The sequence below is a fragment of the Homo sapiens genome, chromosome 3 (genome assembly GCF_000001405.40).
Source record: "Homo sapiens chromosome 3, GRCh38.p14 Primary Assembly".
NCBI lineage: Eukaryota > Metazoa > Chordata > Mammalia > Primates > Hominidae > Homo > Homo sapiens.
The window spans coordinates 196,490,378-196,504,456 of record NC_000003.12 but is presented as its reverse complement, the minus strand read 5'-3'; the positions used below and the strand labels follow the sequence as shown (position 1 = coordinate 196,504,456).

Sequence of the window (14,079 nt, the reverse complement as noted above, 5' to 3'; positions counted from 1 at the left end):
TTGCAAGCTCTAGACCCAGCTACTCCAGAGGCTGAGGCGAAAGAATCCCTGGAACCCTGGAGTTGTAGTCCAGCCTGGATAAAACAGTGAGACCCCAATTCTTTTATCTATTTATTTATTTGTATTTTTTGAGGTGGAATTTTGCTCTGTCCCCCAGGCTGGAGTGCAGTGGCACAATCTCGGCTCACTGCAGCCTCTGCCTCCCAGGTTTAGCGATTCTCCTGTCTCAGCCTCCTGAGTAGCTGGAATTGCAGGAGCTTGTCACAATGCCCAGCTAATTTTTGTATTTTTAGTAAGGACGGGGGTTTCACCATGTTGGCCAGGCTGGTCTTGAACTCCTGACCTCAGGTGATCCGCCCGCCTCGGCCTCCCGAAGTGCTGGGATTACAGGCGTGAGCCACCGCACCCGGCCTTGTTTGGCTGTTGATTTTGTTTTGAGGTTTCCCTTTTTCTACCCAGAAACCAAGAAACCAGGGGTGTCTGAGGCCTCGCAGAAATCTCAGGGAAAGGTCAGGCTCCACCCAGGCTGCACTAGGCGGGGCTGCGACGCCAGGGCGGGACCGTCTCCGGCTGGGAGGGAGGGCGGGCGGCGCGCAGACCCCGGAAGTCCCGCCCCGGGAACGTTCGCCCTTGGGCAGTTTTCTGGGTGGGAAGTGCGATTTTGGCGGGCGGTTGTGACGTTGCTAGCGCTTGTCCGGTGGCTGCTGCGCTGCCGCAACGAATAGGGTTTCTGGCTGCGTAGGAGGGACGGGGGCGCGGAGCTCTGGGAAACTGCGCCAGGCGCCCGAAAGGTGAACACGGGAGTCGCGCGTCTCCCCCGCAGCAGCGGTAAAGCGGAAGTTATGCTGCAGCCGGAGCCCGGGCTTCCTCCCGGAGCCGCGTCCCGGGGCCCGGCTGCCCCGAGCTGAGCGGAGCATCCTTTCCGGGTGAGGGGAGGAGAGGACTTGGCGCGTTCCCCTCGCTGCCCCGGGAGCCGCAGCCGCGGTGTTCATGCCGCGGAGCAGCCAGGCTCCTCCGACGAAAACCTGCATTTATTTGCTGGCGGGACGTTTGCCTTGAAAATGGACAAAGACGCCGCCCTCCGGGGTATTCCTGTTTGCCTGACCCTGAGAGCGCCTTTTTGCTTCAAGACGTGTTGGATGCTCCTGTTCTCCGAATTCTGATACGCTTCTGGGCATAATACTGAAACACAAAACTGCTTTTGCTCTCTCTGTGGTTGGCCGAAAATAGGATTCTTTTTCGTGCAGGTGTCGTTGTTTAGTCGGCTTTACTAACATATTGAAATGGCTCTACCCAAAGACGCCATCCCCTCGCTGTCCGAGTGCCAGTGCGGGATCTGCATGGAAATCCTCGTGGAGCCCGTCACCCTCCCGTGTAACCACACGCTGTGTAAACCGTGCTTCCAGTCGACCGTCGAAAAGGCGAGTTTATGCTGTCCCTTCTGTCGCCGCCGGGTATCGTCGTGGACTCGGTACCATACCCGAAGAAATTCTCTCGTCAACGTGGAACTGTGGACGATAATTCAAAAACACTATCCCAGGGAGTGCAAGCTTAGAGCGTCTGGCCAAGAATCAGAGGAAGTGGGTGAGTAAACCATGGCGTGTTTGTTGGCCAAAAGCCGCAAGTCTTTGAAAAGGTGAATCATCACTTTTCCATTTAAAAAGTAAAAACAAACCAAAAAACCCGACTAGTATTTGTCTAAATAGTTCTCAGAGGTTAGGGGGTTTATGGGTCCCCAAATGTCGATGGATTATAAAGTCAAGGGCAAGATTTTGTCCATTGTCAAAATGCCCGCGCTGTGTTCGATGGGTGTTTGTTGTGTTAAAAATTAAAGAATTGCCCGTCTGGAGCCTTCTTTTTTTTTTTTTTGAGACAGGATCTCGCTCCGTCCTCCAGGCTGGAGTGCAGTGGCGCGATCTCGGCTCCCTGCAACCTCCGCCTCCCGGTTTCAAGCGATTCTCCTGCCTCAGCCTCCCGAGTAGCTGGGGTTACACGCGTGCACCATCACGCCCGGGGAATTTTTCTGTTTTTTAGTAGAGACGGGATTTCACCATGTTGGCCAGGCTGATCTCAAACTCCTGACCTCAAGGGATCCGCCCGCCTCGGCCTGCCAAAATGCTGGGATTACAGGCTTGAGCCACCGCGCCCGGCCTCTGATTTACTTATCTATACATCTCCATTCATTTAATTCTTGATTCTCCTAATCATGCGACGAGGCTAAAGTCGCTTTTTTATCACTCAACCCTGCACCCGGTAGACTCAGGAGCCCCAAACTGAACCCTTGACTCTTTCCTCCACTAATGTGAGCAATAAGCCGGGCGGTGGTTCCTGTCTGGGCTTAGGATATGGTGTCTCCGTTCTCTCGTGGACAGGTCTTTTTTTTTTTTTTTTTTTTTTTTTTTCTAATTTTTTTTGGTCACAGTTATATGTGTACCTGCCTTTTAAACATACGTTTATTTTATTGTAAAAAAATGCCATTTTAAACATTTTTAAACAATAGTTAAAAGAAAAAGCTTTATTCAAATGCTCGCAGACCATACAATTCACCTACTAAAAGTGTGCGGTTGGCCGGGAGCGATGGCTCACAGCTGTAATCCCAGCGCTTTGGGAGGCGGAGGTGGGAGGATCTCTTGAACCCAGGAGTTGAGGCCGGTCTGGGTAACATAAATTCAGTAAAATGTTTAAAAGTGTGCAATTTAATGGTTTTTGGTATATTGCGTTATTTTTAAAATATTGTCCAAAATGTATATAACAAACTGACATTTTAACCATTTTTAAGTACAATTCAATAGCATTAATTACATTCACAATGTAACCATCACCACTGTTTCCAGAACTTTTCATCACCCCAGATAAACTCTAACCGTGAGGCACTGACTCCCCATTTCACCTTTCCCCCCAGCCTCGGCACCTTCTATTCCACTTTCTGTCTCTATGAATCTGGCCATTCTAGGTATTTCATAGAAGGGACTCATGCAATATAGGATCTTGTGTGTCTAGCTTATTTCACTTAGCGTGTTTCTGAGGTTCATGTACAGTGTGGCATGGATCAGTACTTCATTTTTCGGGCTGAATAATAATTTGTTTTACGGATATACTTGTTACATTTTGTTTATCCATTGGCTGGACATTGGTTTTTTTCACCTTTTCGTTATTTGAATACTGGCGATACGAACATTTATGTACCAGTATGTGTTTGAATACCTGTGTTCAGTTCTTTTGTCTATATATCTACGAGTGGAATTGCTGGATCCTATGGTAATTCTGTGTTTAGCTTTTTGAGGAACTGCCACATTGATTTCTACAGTGGCTGTACCATTTTACATTTCCATTAGCAGAGTACGAAGTTTCCAGTTTCTTCACTTCCTCACCAACACTTGTTATTTTCCGTGCCATGCTAGTACATGTGAACTGGTATCTTAACTCTGTGTGTCAAAAAATTGCGGGGCCGGGCGCGGCGGCTCACGCCTGTAATCCCAGCACTTTGGGAGGCCGAGGCGGGCGGATCACGAGGTCAGGAGATCGAGACCATCCTGGCTAACACGGTGAAACCCCCTCTCTACTAAAAATACAAAAAATTAGCCGGGCATGTTGGCACGCGCCTGTAGTCCCAGCTACTCGGGAGGCTGAGGCCGGAGAATGGCGTGAACCCGGGAGGCGGAGCTTGCAGTGAGCCGAGATCACGCCACCGCACTCCAGCCTGGGAGACAGAGCGAGACTCCGTTTCAAAAAAAAAAAATTGTGGTAAAATATAGCAAGATTACCATTTTAACCACTTAAAAATGTTTTTGACTAGAAAGAAGGGAGGAAAATTTTAACCGTTTGTAATTGTATGGTTCAGTGGCATCGCCTCCGTTCACACTGCTGTGCATCCGTCACCACCGTCCATCTCCAGAACTTTTTAATCCTCCCAAACTGAATTTCCACACCCTTGAGGCTCACCGTTCCTCCCTCCTACTATCCCCTGGCAACCACCGTTCTCCTTTCCATTTCTGTGAACCCGACTGCTTCTAGGTACCTCCTGTAAGTGGAATTTTCATAGGTTTTGTCCTTTTGTGTCTGGCCTGTTTTACCTAGCGTAATGTTTTCCAGGTTCATCCATACTGCATGTGACAGCATTCCCTTCTTTTCCAGGCTGAATAATGTTCCAGTGTATGTATATGCTACATTAAAAGAAATCTGTTCCTCTGTCAGTGGACACTTGGCTTGCTTCCACTTCTCGGCTATTAGAAATAATGCTGGTGTGAACTTGGGTGTACAAATGTCTGTTCAGGGGCCTGTTTTCTATTCTTTTGGGTGTATACCTGGAAGTGGAATTTCTAGATCCTATGGTAATTCTATGTGTGATTGGTTTTGGAAACCGCCATACTGTTTTCCACAGTGACTGTACCGTTTTACATTCCCACCAACAGTGCGTGGGTGTCCAGTTTCTCTGCACCCTCGCCAACACTTGCTATTTTCTGGGTTTTGATAGTAGCCATCCTGGTGAGTATGAGGTGGTATCCCATTGTGGTTTTTATTTGCATGTCCCCAATGACTAAGGATGGCGAGCATCTTTGCATGCATTTATTGGCCATTTGTATATCATCTTCGGAAAAATATGAAATATCTATTCAAATCCTGTGCTCATTCATTCTTTTTGTTTCTGTTTTTCTCCCAAAACCCAGAAAAAGCCACAACTTTGCCTGTCATTTAATCAGGTTGTTTTTTTGAGTTGTGGGCATTCTCCTGCCTCAGCCTCCTGAGTAGCTGGGATTACAGGCATGCGACACCACACCCAACTAATTTTTGTATTGTTAGTAGAGATGGGGTTTTGCTGTGTTGGTCAGGATGGTCTCAATCTCTTGACCTCGTGATCCACCTGTCTTGGCCTCCAAAAGTGCTGGGATTACAAGCGTGAGCCACCGCGTCCGGGCTGTTTTAGTTTTTATCCACCATAGATGAGTTTTTTCTGTTCTGGAACTTCATATAAATGGAATTCTTTTTATTTCCTAGGGCTACTGTAACAAAGTACCACGAACTTAGCAGAAATTTATTCTCCCTCAGTTCTGAAGAGTAGAACTCCAAACCCAAGATGCTAGCAGGGAGCAGGGACATGTACATTGAAGGCTCTGGGAGAGAATCTGTTCCGTGCCCTTCTCCTTAGCTTCTGGTGTGGCTGGAATCCATGGTGTTCCTGGTTTGCAGCTGAGTCACTCCAGTCTCTGCCTCCATTGGCACGTAGAGTTTCCCGGTGTGTCTGTCTTTACATGGCCGTCTCCTCTGTGTCTCTCTCTTTTTTTTTTACCAGGACACTAGTTATATTGGATTAAAGGCTCTGTACTCTTTGTATGAACTCCATTATATCTGTAACAACCTGTTTCCAGTTAAGACCACATTCTTAGTTACTGGGAGTTAGGACTTAAGCATATCTTTTGGGGGGTTATTCAGCATAAGGTTCAAGATTTATTCTTTTTTTTTTTTTGAGACAGTCTTGTTCTGTCACCCAGTCTGGAATGCAGTGACAGGATCTCGGCTCACTGCAACCTCCGTCTCCTGGGTTCAAGTGATTCTCCTGCCTCAGCCTCCTAAGTAGCTGGGATTACAGGCACGCACCACCATGCCTGGCTAATTTTTGTATTTTTAGTAGAGATGGGGTTTCACCATGTTGCCCAGCCTGGTGTCGAACTCCTGACCTCAGGTGATCCACCCGCCTCGGCCTCCCAAAGTGCTGGGATTACAGGCATGAGCCACCGCGCCTGGCCTCAAGATTTATTCTTGTGTAGATATTCGTTTTTTAAGTATTATTCCACCATTGACTATGCTGTATATGATTGGCCATTCTCCACTGATACAGTGCTTCAGTTGCTTGCAGTTTTGGATATTATGAATAAAGTTGCTGAGAAGGTTCTTGTGCAAGTTTTTGTGTCTCTGTGTGTGTATGTGTGGCCTTATGTTTTCAGGGTTTTTTTGGTTAAATACTTAGGAGCTGGAATTACGCAACGTAGAATAGGTACATATTTTTATAAGAAACTACCTGCCAGGCATGGTGGCTCACGCACTTTGGGAGGCCGAGGCGGGTGGATCACAAGGTCAGGAGTTCAAGACCAGCCTGGCCAAGATGCTGAAACCCCATCTACTAAAAATACAAAAATTAGCCGGGTGTGGTGGCGGGCACCTGTAATACCAGCCACTCGGGAGGCTGAGGCAGAGAATTGCTTGAACCCAGGAGGCAGAGGTTGCAGTGAGCCTAGATCGCGCCACTGCACTCTAGCCTCGGTGACAGAGTGAGACTCCATCTCAAAAAAAGAAAGAAGAAACTACCAGATCTTTTTCGAAAGTGGTTGTGTCATTTTGTAATCCCACCAACAGCATACAGGTTCTGGTTGCCGTACATCTTACCAACTTTTGATGTTATCTGTCTTTTTAGATTTAACCATTCCAGTTGATTTGTATTGATAGTAGTATCTTGTTTTAATTTCAATTTCCAGGTAACTAATGATAGTGTTCTTTTTCATGTGCTTATTGACAGTTTTGCCCTCTTCCATTGTAAAGTGTCTGTTTAATTCTTTTTCCCCTAAATTGTTTATATTCAGTTGTAGACATTATTTATGTATTTTGAATACTGGTACTTTGCCAGATATTCTTAATTGTTTTGACGAGCTGAAATTCTTAATTTTCATGAAGTCTCATAAATTTTTCCTTTTATAGTTTATTGCTTTTTATGGTCTAAGAAACCTTTAGCTACCTTCAGGCTAAGATATTGCTATTTTTTTTTCTAAAAGATTTATAGTTTTACCTTTTTTTTTTGGAGACTGAATTTCGTTGTGTCGCCCAGGCTGGAGTGCAGTGGCGTGATGGCTCACTGCAACCTCCACCTCCCAGGTTCAAGCGATTCTCCTCCCTCAGCCTCCTGAGTAGCTGGGACTACAGGCACGCACCACCATGCCTGGCTAATTTTTGTATTTTTTGTAGAGATGGGGCTTCACCATGTTGGCCAGGCTGGTCTTGAAGTCCTGACCTCGTGATCCGCCTGCCTTGGCCTCCCAAAGTGCGAGGATTACAGGTGTGAGCCACTGTGTCTGGCCAGTTTTAACTTTTATGTTTAGGTCTTTGATCCATTTCAAATTAATTTTGAATATTGTATAAGTTAGGGGGTTGAGGTTAACTTTTTCCCATATGGGTATCAGTTATTTCTGTACCTTTTGTTGAAAAGACTTTTTAAAAAAAATAATGTGGGTCTATTCTATTTCATTGATCCGTTGATTCTAATATTAGTGTCACACTGTCTTGATTACTGTGACTTTAGAGTAAATCTTTTTTTTTCTTTTTGAGACAGAGTCTTGCTCTGTTGCCTAGGCTGGAGTGCAGTGGCGTGATCTCAGCTCACTACATCCTCTGCCTCCCAGGTTCAAGCAGTTCTCCTTCCTCAGCCTCCTGAGTAGCTGCGATTACAGGCATGTACCACCATGCCTGGCTAATTTTTGTATTTTTAATAGAGACGGGAGTTTCACCACATTGGCCAGGCTGGTCTCGAACTCTTGACCTCAGATGATACTCCTGCCTCGACCTTCCAAAGTGCTGGGATTACAGGCGTGAGCCATCGTGCCCGTCCTCCGTATATTTATTCTTTGTATGTAGAGACGGGGTTTTGCTATGCTGCCCAGGCTGGTCTTGAACAGCTCACCTCAAGCAGTCCTCCCGTCTCAGCCTCCTGAAGTGCTGGAATTACAGGCCTGAACCGCCACACCCAGCCTATTTAAATTTTTCAATCAACTTACCAGTTTCTACTAACAGCCTGTTAGGAGTTTGATTGGGGTTGCATTGAACTTAATAGAACAATTTGGGGAGAATTGACATCCAAACAGCAACAGAGTCCTTGTATCCATGAAAATAGTATATTTCTCTGTTTGTGTAGGTCACCTTCAATTTTTTTCAGTAATGAAGTTAAAATAAGGTCATTAGAATGGGCCCTAATCCATTATGACTGGTTTCCTTATAAAAAGGAGAAATTTGGACACAGAGACAGACACGCACAGAAGGAAGATGATGTAAAGACACAGAGTACCACGTGAGGCTGGAGGACTGGAGTGATGTATTTACAACCCAAGGAACGTCTAAGGTTATCAGCATACTGTCAGAAGCAAGGAAGAGGCAAGGAAGGATCCCCTACAAGTTTGAAAAGTGTCATGGCCCTGCTGACACATTTATTTTGGACTTTTAGCCAGAACTGTGAGAAAATAAATTGCTGTATTTTCAAGTCACGCAATTTGTGGTACTTTTCTATGGTGGCCCTAAGAAACTAATATTTATCCCTAATTATATTATGGCTTTTGAGACTGTTTTAAGTAAATTTTAAAAAATTTTCAGTATTGTTCATTGATAATTTATAAAAATATAATTGGTGTTTCTGTGTTAACTTTGTTAACACATAATACATAAAGTGAATCTACTCATTTACTTTATGTATTTTTAATTTATGGAAGGAAGGTTGTAAGAAAGCACATATGAGATAGCTTTAAAAAATGAAGTATTTGAAAGTGAATTAGTGTGACGGAGACAGGTGTGTTTTACATTTGGATTTCTCAAAAAAGAATCCTATAGTAGGGAAGAATCAGCCTTAGAATGTCTAAATTTCCTTTCTGTTTGCGACTGTCACTGTAAAAATTGATGCAGGCAAGAATTACAAACGGATGCCAAAATCCCTGCTTGAAAATTTGCCGGAGAACGGAGGACTCATATAGTCTGAAAATATCATCTTACAGATTGCTTATTAATTACAAAGGGTGAAGGATACAGTCGAGAAGCCTGTTACCACAGTAATGAAGTGATCACAGTTAACGTTATCCATGGAACAAACAAACATTGCGGTCCTCCTGATAGGACGAGTATAAGGCATAACCTGAATCTAACTGTGAGAAAACAAAAACCCAAATTGAAATTCTACAAAACGTAGTTGTTAGTACCTCAAAAATGTCAGTGTCATGAAGGCAAAGCCTTAGGAATCATTCTAGTTGAAAGGGAGATTAAAAGAGAATGACAGCTAAATGCAGTGCATGACCCTGGATTAGAACATGGATTAGGACAAAGGTTGTTATTAAAGACATGGGGATAGTTGGTGAAATTTTTATCATTGATATGATGGGTAATATATCAATGTTAATTTTCTTGAACTTGATCATTGTATATCAAATCAAGAGATAAGGACAGCATCTCTTATGAGGTGGACACGTAAGGATTTGGTGAAGGGTTATGATCATGCAACTTTCAAATGGTTCAGAAAATACACACACACACACACGAAAGGCAATGTGGCAGTTTAAAAACTTCATGAATCTAAATGCAGGTTAAACGGGGGTTTATCATACTATTTTTGCAATTTCTGTAGATTTGAAAATTTTCAAAATAAATATTGAGGCAGAAAGTGCAAATTTAGTTTATGTTATTTTATTTTCGAGACAGGGTCTCACTTAGTCGCCCAGGCTGGAATGCCAGGGAGCGATCTTGGCTCACTGTACCCTCCACCGCCCGGGCTCAAGCAATCCTCCCACCTCAACCTCCTGAGTAGCTGGGACCACAGGCACACACCACTACGCCAGGCTAATTTTTTTATTTTTTGTAGAGATAGGGTCTCACTATGTTACCGAGGCTGGTCTTGAACTCCTGAGCTCAAGTGATACTCCTGCCTCATCCTCGCAAAGTGCTGGGATCACAGGTGTGAGCACTTTGCCCCTGATTGCCATTTATAGCCACACTACTTGGTGATGATCCAGCCACACTGATGTACATACTGCTTCACAAATCATATGCTTATTTTCCAGAGCAACTTTGGGCTTTTTATTTTTTAACTATCTCTTTATTTTGTACCCTGTGCCCAGCCCAGGAATGCACATTTAATTGGGAGAAGGAAACTGCCATTTACATGGAGCTGCAGTCTAGTTCAGTGATGGGAGGGCAGTTTTATGAACAGCTCAACTGTTCAAGTTAAGGCTTATTATTTATTTTTATTTTTCATCCAGTATTATACATTCAGGTCTTTAACTAACTTGAATTTTTCCTTCAAAATAAAATAAAAAGCATGGGGACATATTTCCTTAAATGAGTCCTGGCCGCCTAGGAAGACCACTTGCTGCGAAGAAGCAAAATATCGAGTAGAGTAGGAATGTTTAACCGAAGTGGGTTTCAGCAGAAATTTTAGAGTTAACCAGAACTGAAGAGTGTCGAGAGTTGTTTCCAACAGATGGCAAAAATTGTATAGTCACTTTAAGACTATAAAACTGAGATATTCAAATTTCTTATAAAATTAGAGTTGTTTAAGAAATAGCAAACAGGCCAGGTGCGGGGGCTCACACCTGTAATCTCAGTACTTGAGAGTTCAAGGCAGGCAAATCGCTTGAGCCTGAGAGTGTGAGACCAGCCTGGCCAATAGGGCAAAACCGTCTACAAAAAATACAAAAATTAGCCGGGTGTGGTGGTGGGCGCCTGTAGTCTCAGCTACATGGGAGGCTCAGGCAGTAGCATTGCTTGAGCCTGGGAGGTGGACACTGCAGTGAGCTGAGATTGCACCACTGCACTGCAGCCTGAGTGACAAAGTGAGACTCTGTCTCAAAAAAAAAAAAAAATAAATTTAAAAAAAGAAAGAAATAGCAAATGGAAGGCTGGGCACGGTGGCTCACACCTGTAATCCTGGCACTTTGGAAGGCAGGTGGATCACCTGAGGTCAGGAGTTCAAGACCAGCCTGGCCAACATGGTAAAACCCCCGTCTCTACTAAAATTACAAAAAATTAGCTGGGCGTGGTGGGACATGCCTGTAATCCCAGCTACTCAGGAGGCTGAGGCAGGAGAATTGCTTGAACCCGGGAGGTGGAGGCTGCAGTTACCTGAGATTGCGCCATTGTACTCCAGCCTGGGCAACAAGAGCGAAACTCCGTCAAAGAAGAAAAAGAAATAGCAAATGGACTGGATGCAGTGGCTCACACCTGTTATCCCAGTGCTTCAGGAGGCTAGGGCAGGAGAATCGCTTCAGCCAAGGGGTTGGAGGCTGCAGTGAGCTATGATCCCGCCACTGAACTCCAGCCTGGGCAAGAGTGAGATCTTGTTTCCAAAAACAAAAGAAAAAGGCAAATGAAGACAATTTTAACTTGTGTCTGCAGTTGAATAACTCACTGATCTTAATTTAGATTCAGTTTATGTAGAAATAAGTAAACTTTAAAAATCTGTCATTCCACGGTTTAACAAAAGTTCAGCTCTCTGCTTGCTGTAGTTGGGCATCTTCTGTAAATCGCACGTGCCTTTCCTTTGCCTGTTGTGGTTTTTAATTGATCTGTGGAAGTTCTAGTTATATTCTGGACACTAATTCTCTGGTGATTTATGTATTTGCAAATAACTTCTAGTTTGTTTTTAACTTTGTGATGTCTTTCATCACATGGAAGTTTTAATTGTTTTGGAATTTATCTCATATGTTCTTCTTAGTCGTTTATAGTTTTGTTTTTTTCCATTTTTTAATCCACCTTGAATTCGAGTATTGTATGAGGTAGGCATCTTAACTCCCCCTGCCCTTGATTGCCACTTAATAGCCACACTACTTGGTAGTAATACAGCCACATTGATATACGTACTATTTCACTAATCATATGCTTATTTTCCAGAGCAATTTGGGGCTATTTATTTATTTTATTTATTTATTTATTTATTTATTTGAGATGGAGTCTCTCTCTGTCACCCAGGCTGGAGTGCAATGGTGCGATCTTGGCTCACTGCAACCTCTGCCTCTCGGGTTCAAGCGATTCTCCTGTCTCAGCCTCTTGAGTAGCTGGGATTACAGGCGTGCACCACCACACGTGGCTAATTTTTGTATTTTTAGTAGACATAGGGTTATTTGCCTTGTTGGCCAGGCTGGTTTTGAACTCCTGACCTCAAGTGATCCGCCTGCCTCCACCTCCCAAAGTGCCGGGATTACAGGCATGAGCCATGGCACCTTGCCTGGGCTTTTTATTTTTTAACTATCTCTTTATCAGTAGCTGTGTCAGTACCACACATGCTTAGTTTAATTCTGCTTAATGATATGTTTTGCTTTCTAGTATAATACATCTGTCTTATTATTGTTTTCCTAAATTAGCTACTTAAAAAAAATTTTTTTGAACAAAGATGGGGTCTTGCTATGTTGCCCAGGCTGGTCTTGATAGCCTGAGCTCAAGTGGTCCTCCTGCCTCAGCCTTCCAAAGTGCTGGGATTACAGGCATGAGCCACTGTGCCCAGCCTCTTAGCTACTATTTTATTGTATCTAATGTGTAAAGTGATTTACTTTTTTTCCAGTTTTATTGTAAAAGATACATAACATAAAATCCGCCATGTTAACCATTTTTAAATGGACAGTTGCGTGACATGAAGTACATTCATGTTTTTGTGCAGCCGTCACCACCATTCATCTCTGAACTTTCTCATCTTCCACGCTTGAAACTGCCCATTAAACAATAATTAATTCCCCATTCACCCCTCCCCTGGCTGCTGGCGACCTCCATTCTTTCTGCCTCTACGGGTTTAATTGCTCTAGGTGTCTCGTACGAGTGGAACCCCACACAGTGTCTGTCCTTTGGTGACTGGCTGTTTCACGCAGCGTAGTGTCTTGAAGGTCCATCGTGTTCTAGCACGTGTCCATTCCATTTCCTTTTTTGGCCGCATACTCCATTATGTGTGTGTATATATCTTAATGGATGACTATTATAAAAAAAAAACCAAGTGTTGGCTGTCCTCTGAAGCGGTATCTCCGTACTCAGGATTTGCACTTCCCTAATGACTAGTAATGTTGAACATGTGTTTTTGTTTGTTTGTGAGACGGAGCCTCCCTCTGTCGCCCAGGCTGGAGTGCAGTGGCGTGATCTCGGCTCACTGCAAGCTCCGCCTCCCGGGTTCAAGCAATTCTTCTGTGTCAGCCTCTCGAGTAGTTGGAATTACAGGTGCCTGCCACCACTCCCGGCTTTTTGTATTTTTTGGTAGAGACGGGTTTCACCGTGTTGGTCAGGCTGGTCTCAAACTCTTGACCTCAAGTGATCCACCTGCCTCGGCCTCCCAAAATGCTGTGATTACAGGCATGAGCCACTGTGCCCGGCCTACTGTCAGTTGTTTTATTTGGGTTTTTTGTTTGTTTCTTTGTTTGTTTGTTTTGAGACGGAATCTCCCTCTGTCGTCCAGGCTGGAGTGTAGTGGTGCAATGTCGGCTCACTGCAGCCTCCGCCTCCCGGGTTCAAGCTATTCTACTGCCTCAGCCTCCCGAGTAGCTGAGACTACAGGTGCGTGCCACCACGCCTGGCTAATTTTTGTATTCTTAGTATAGACGGGGTTTCACCATATTGGCCAGGCTGGTCTCGAACTCCTGACCTCATGATCCGCCTGCCTCAGCCTCCCAAAGTGCTGGGATTACAGGCGTGAGCCACCGCTCCCAGCTTACTTTAATTTTTTAAATGAAAATAGTTTGACTCTGCAGTTTCCCTGAAAAAAAGTCTCAGATACCTCCAGGGTTTCGTAGATTCTACTTTAAGACTTGCTGATCTAGGTCTCAGTTTAAGCCAGCTGATTATCCTTCTACTTTTTAAGGAGCCTTATATATGTCTCTCCTGTGTATACCATTGTATTGTCTTGAATAGATCCTCCTTAGTGACTAAAATAAATGAGAATTCAGCATACTGCATCCCTAATTGTTTTGGAGTTACATCACTGTTTTTTAGTCTCTCTGTTGCAGATTTTTCAAACTGCTGGCCTGCAGGCCATAGGAATCCTGTGTGCATGTTTTTTGTGACCCATCCAATGCCACTATTTAAGTTGGAAGATTTCATATTAACATCTTGATTGCTGGATTTTCTTTTTTTTTTTCTTTTTACTTGGATAAATTTATGGGGTGCAAGGGTAATTTTGTTACATGTATAGATTGCACAGTGGCGAAGTCAGGGCTCTTTAGGGTATCTGCTACCCAAATAATGTACATTGTACCCATGAAGTCATCTCTCACCATCCACCCCTGCCGCCTCTGGATTTTCTTGAGAAAGCAAAAAATATGGCACGGACAGGCCTGAGTTTCCTGGTAGTCGTAGTCAGCTGGAGTT

At 44.2% G+C, this 14,079-nt stretch overlaps 1 protein-coding gene and 1 long non-coding RNA gene across 2 annotated transcripts in view, besides 5 other annotated features; both read left to right on the top strand.

The window, feature by feature from the left end:
* Positions 440-739: a silencer, noted in NCBI's record as "silent region_15065". NCBI's record gives its function as "represses an Ori minimal core promoter by ATAC-STARR-seq in GM12878 lymphoblastoid cells {active_cell/tissue: GM12878}" and the evidence as "EXISTENCE:reporter gene assay evidence [ECO:0000049][PMID:35858748]".
* RNF168 (ring finger protein 168) overlaps positions 689-14,079 on the top strand; it is a 34,986-nt gene continuing 21,595 nt past the window's right edge. The window contains exon 1 of the mRNA NM_152617.4: positions 689-1,584. Within this exon, the coding sequence (NP_689830.2) occupies positions 1,284-1,584 (301 nt within the window). The 5' untranslated portion in view covers positions 689-1,283. The remainder of the gene's footprint in view (positions 1,585-14,079) is intronic.
* Positions 1,211-1,894: an enhancer, noted in NCBI's record as "H3K27ac hESC enhancer chr3:196229434-196230117 (GRCh37/hg19 assembly coordinates)". NCBI's record gives its function as "activates a minimal SCP1, AML or CMV promoter by ChIP-STARR-seq in naive and primed H9 embryonic stem cells {active_cell/tissue: H9 hESC(naive and primed)}" and the evidence as "EXISTENCE:reporter gene assay evidence [ECO:0000049][PMID:30033119]".
* Positions 1,360-1,449: an enhancer, noted in NCBI's record as "active region_21094". NCBI's record gives its function as "activates an Ori minimal core promoter by ATAC-STARR-seq in GM12878 lymphoblastoid cells {active_cell/tissue: GM12878}" and the evidence as "EXISTENCE:reporter gene assay evidence [ECO:0000049][PMID:35858748]".
* Positions 1,490-1,559: an enhancer, noted in NCBI's record as "active region_21093". NCBI's record gives its function as "activates an Ori minimal core promoter by ATAC-STARR-seq in GM12878 lymphoblastoid cells {active_cell/tissue: GM12878}" and the evidence as "EXISTENCE:reporter gene assay evidence [ECO:0000049][PMID:35858748]".
* Positions 1,895-2,579: an enhancer, noted in NCBI's record as "H3K27ac hESC enhancer chr3:196228749-196229433 (GRCh37/hg19 assembly coordinates)". NCBI's record gives its function as "activates a minimal SCP1, AML or CMV promoter by ChIP-STARR-seq in naive H9 embryonic stem cells {active_cell/tissue: H9 hESC(naive)}" and the evidence as "EXISTENCE:reporter gene assay evidence [ECO:0000049][PMID:30033119]".
* LOC105374306 (uncharacterized) lies at positions 2,405-8,243 on the top strand. The gene is made up of 2 exons (XR_924896.3): positions 2,405-4,023; positions 7,986-8,243. It is a non-coding gene; the product is annotated as an uncharacterized LOC105374306 (long non-coding RNA).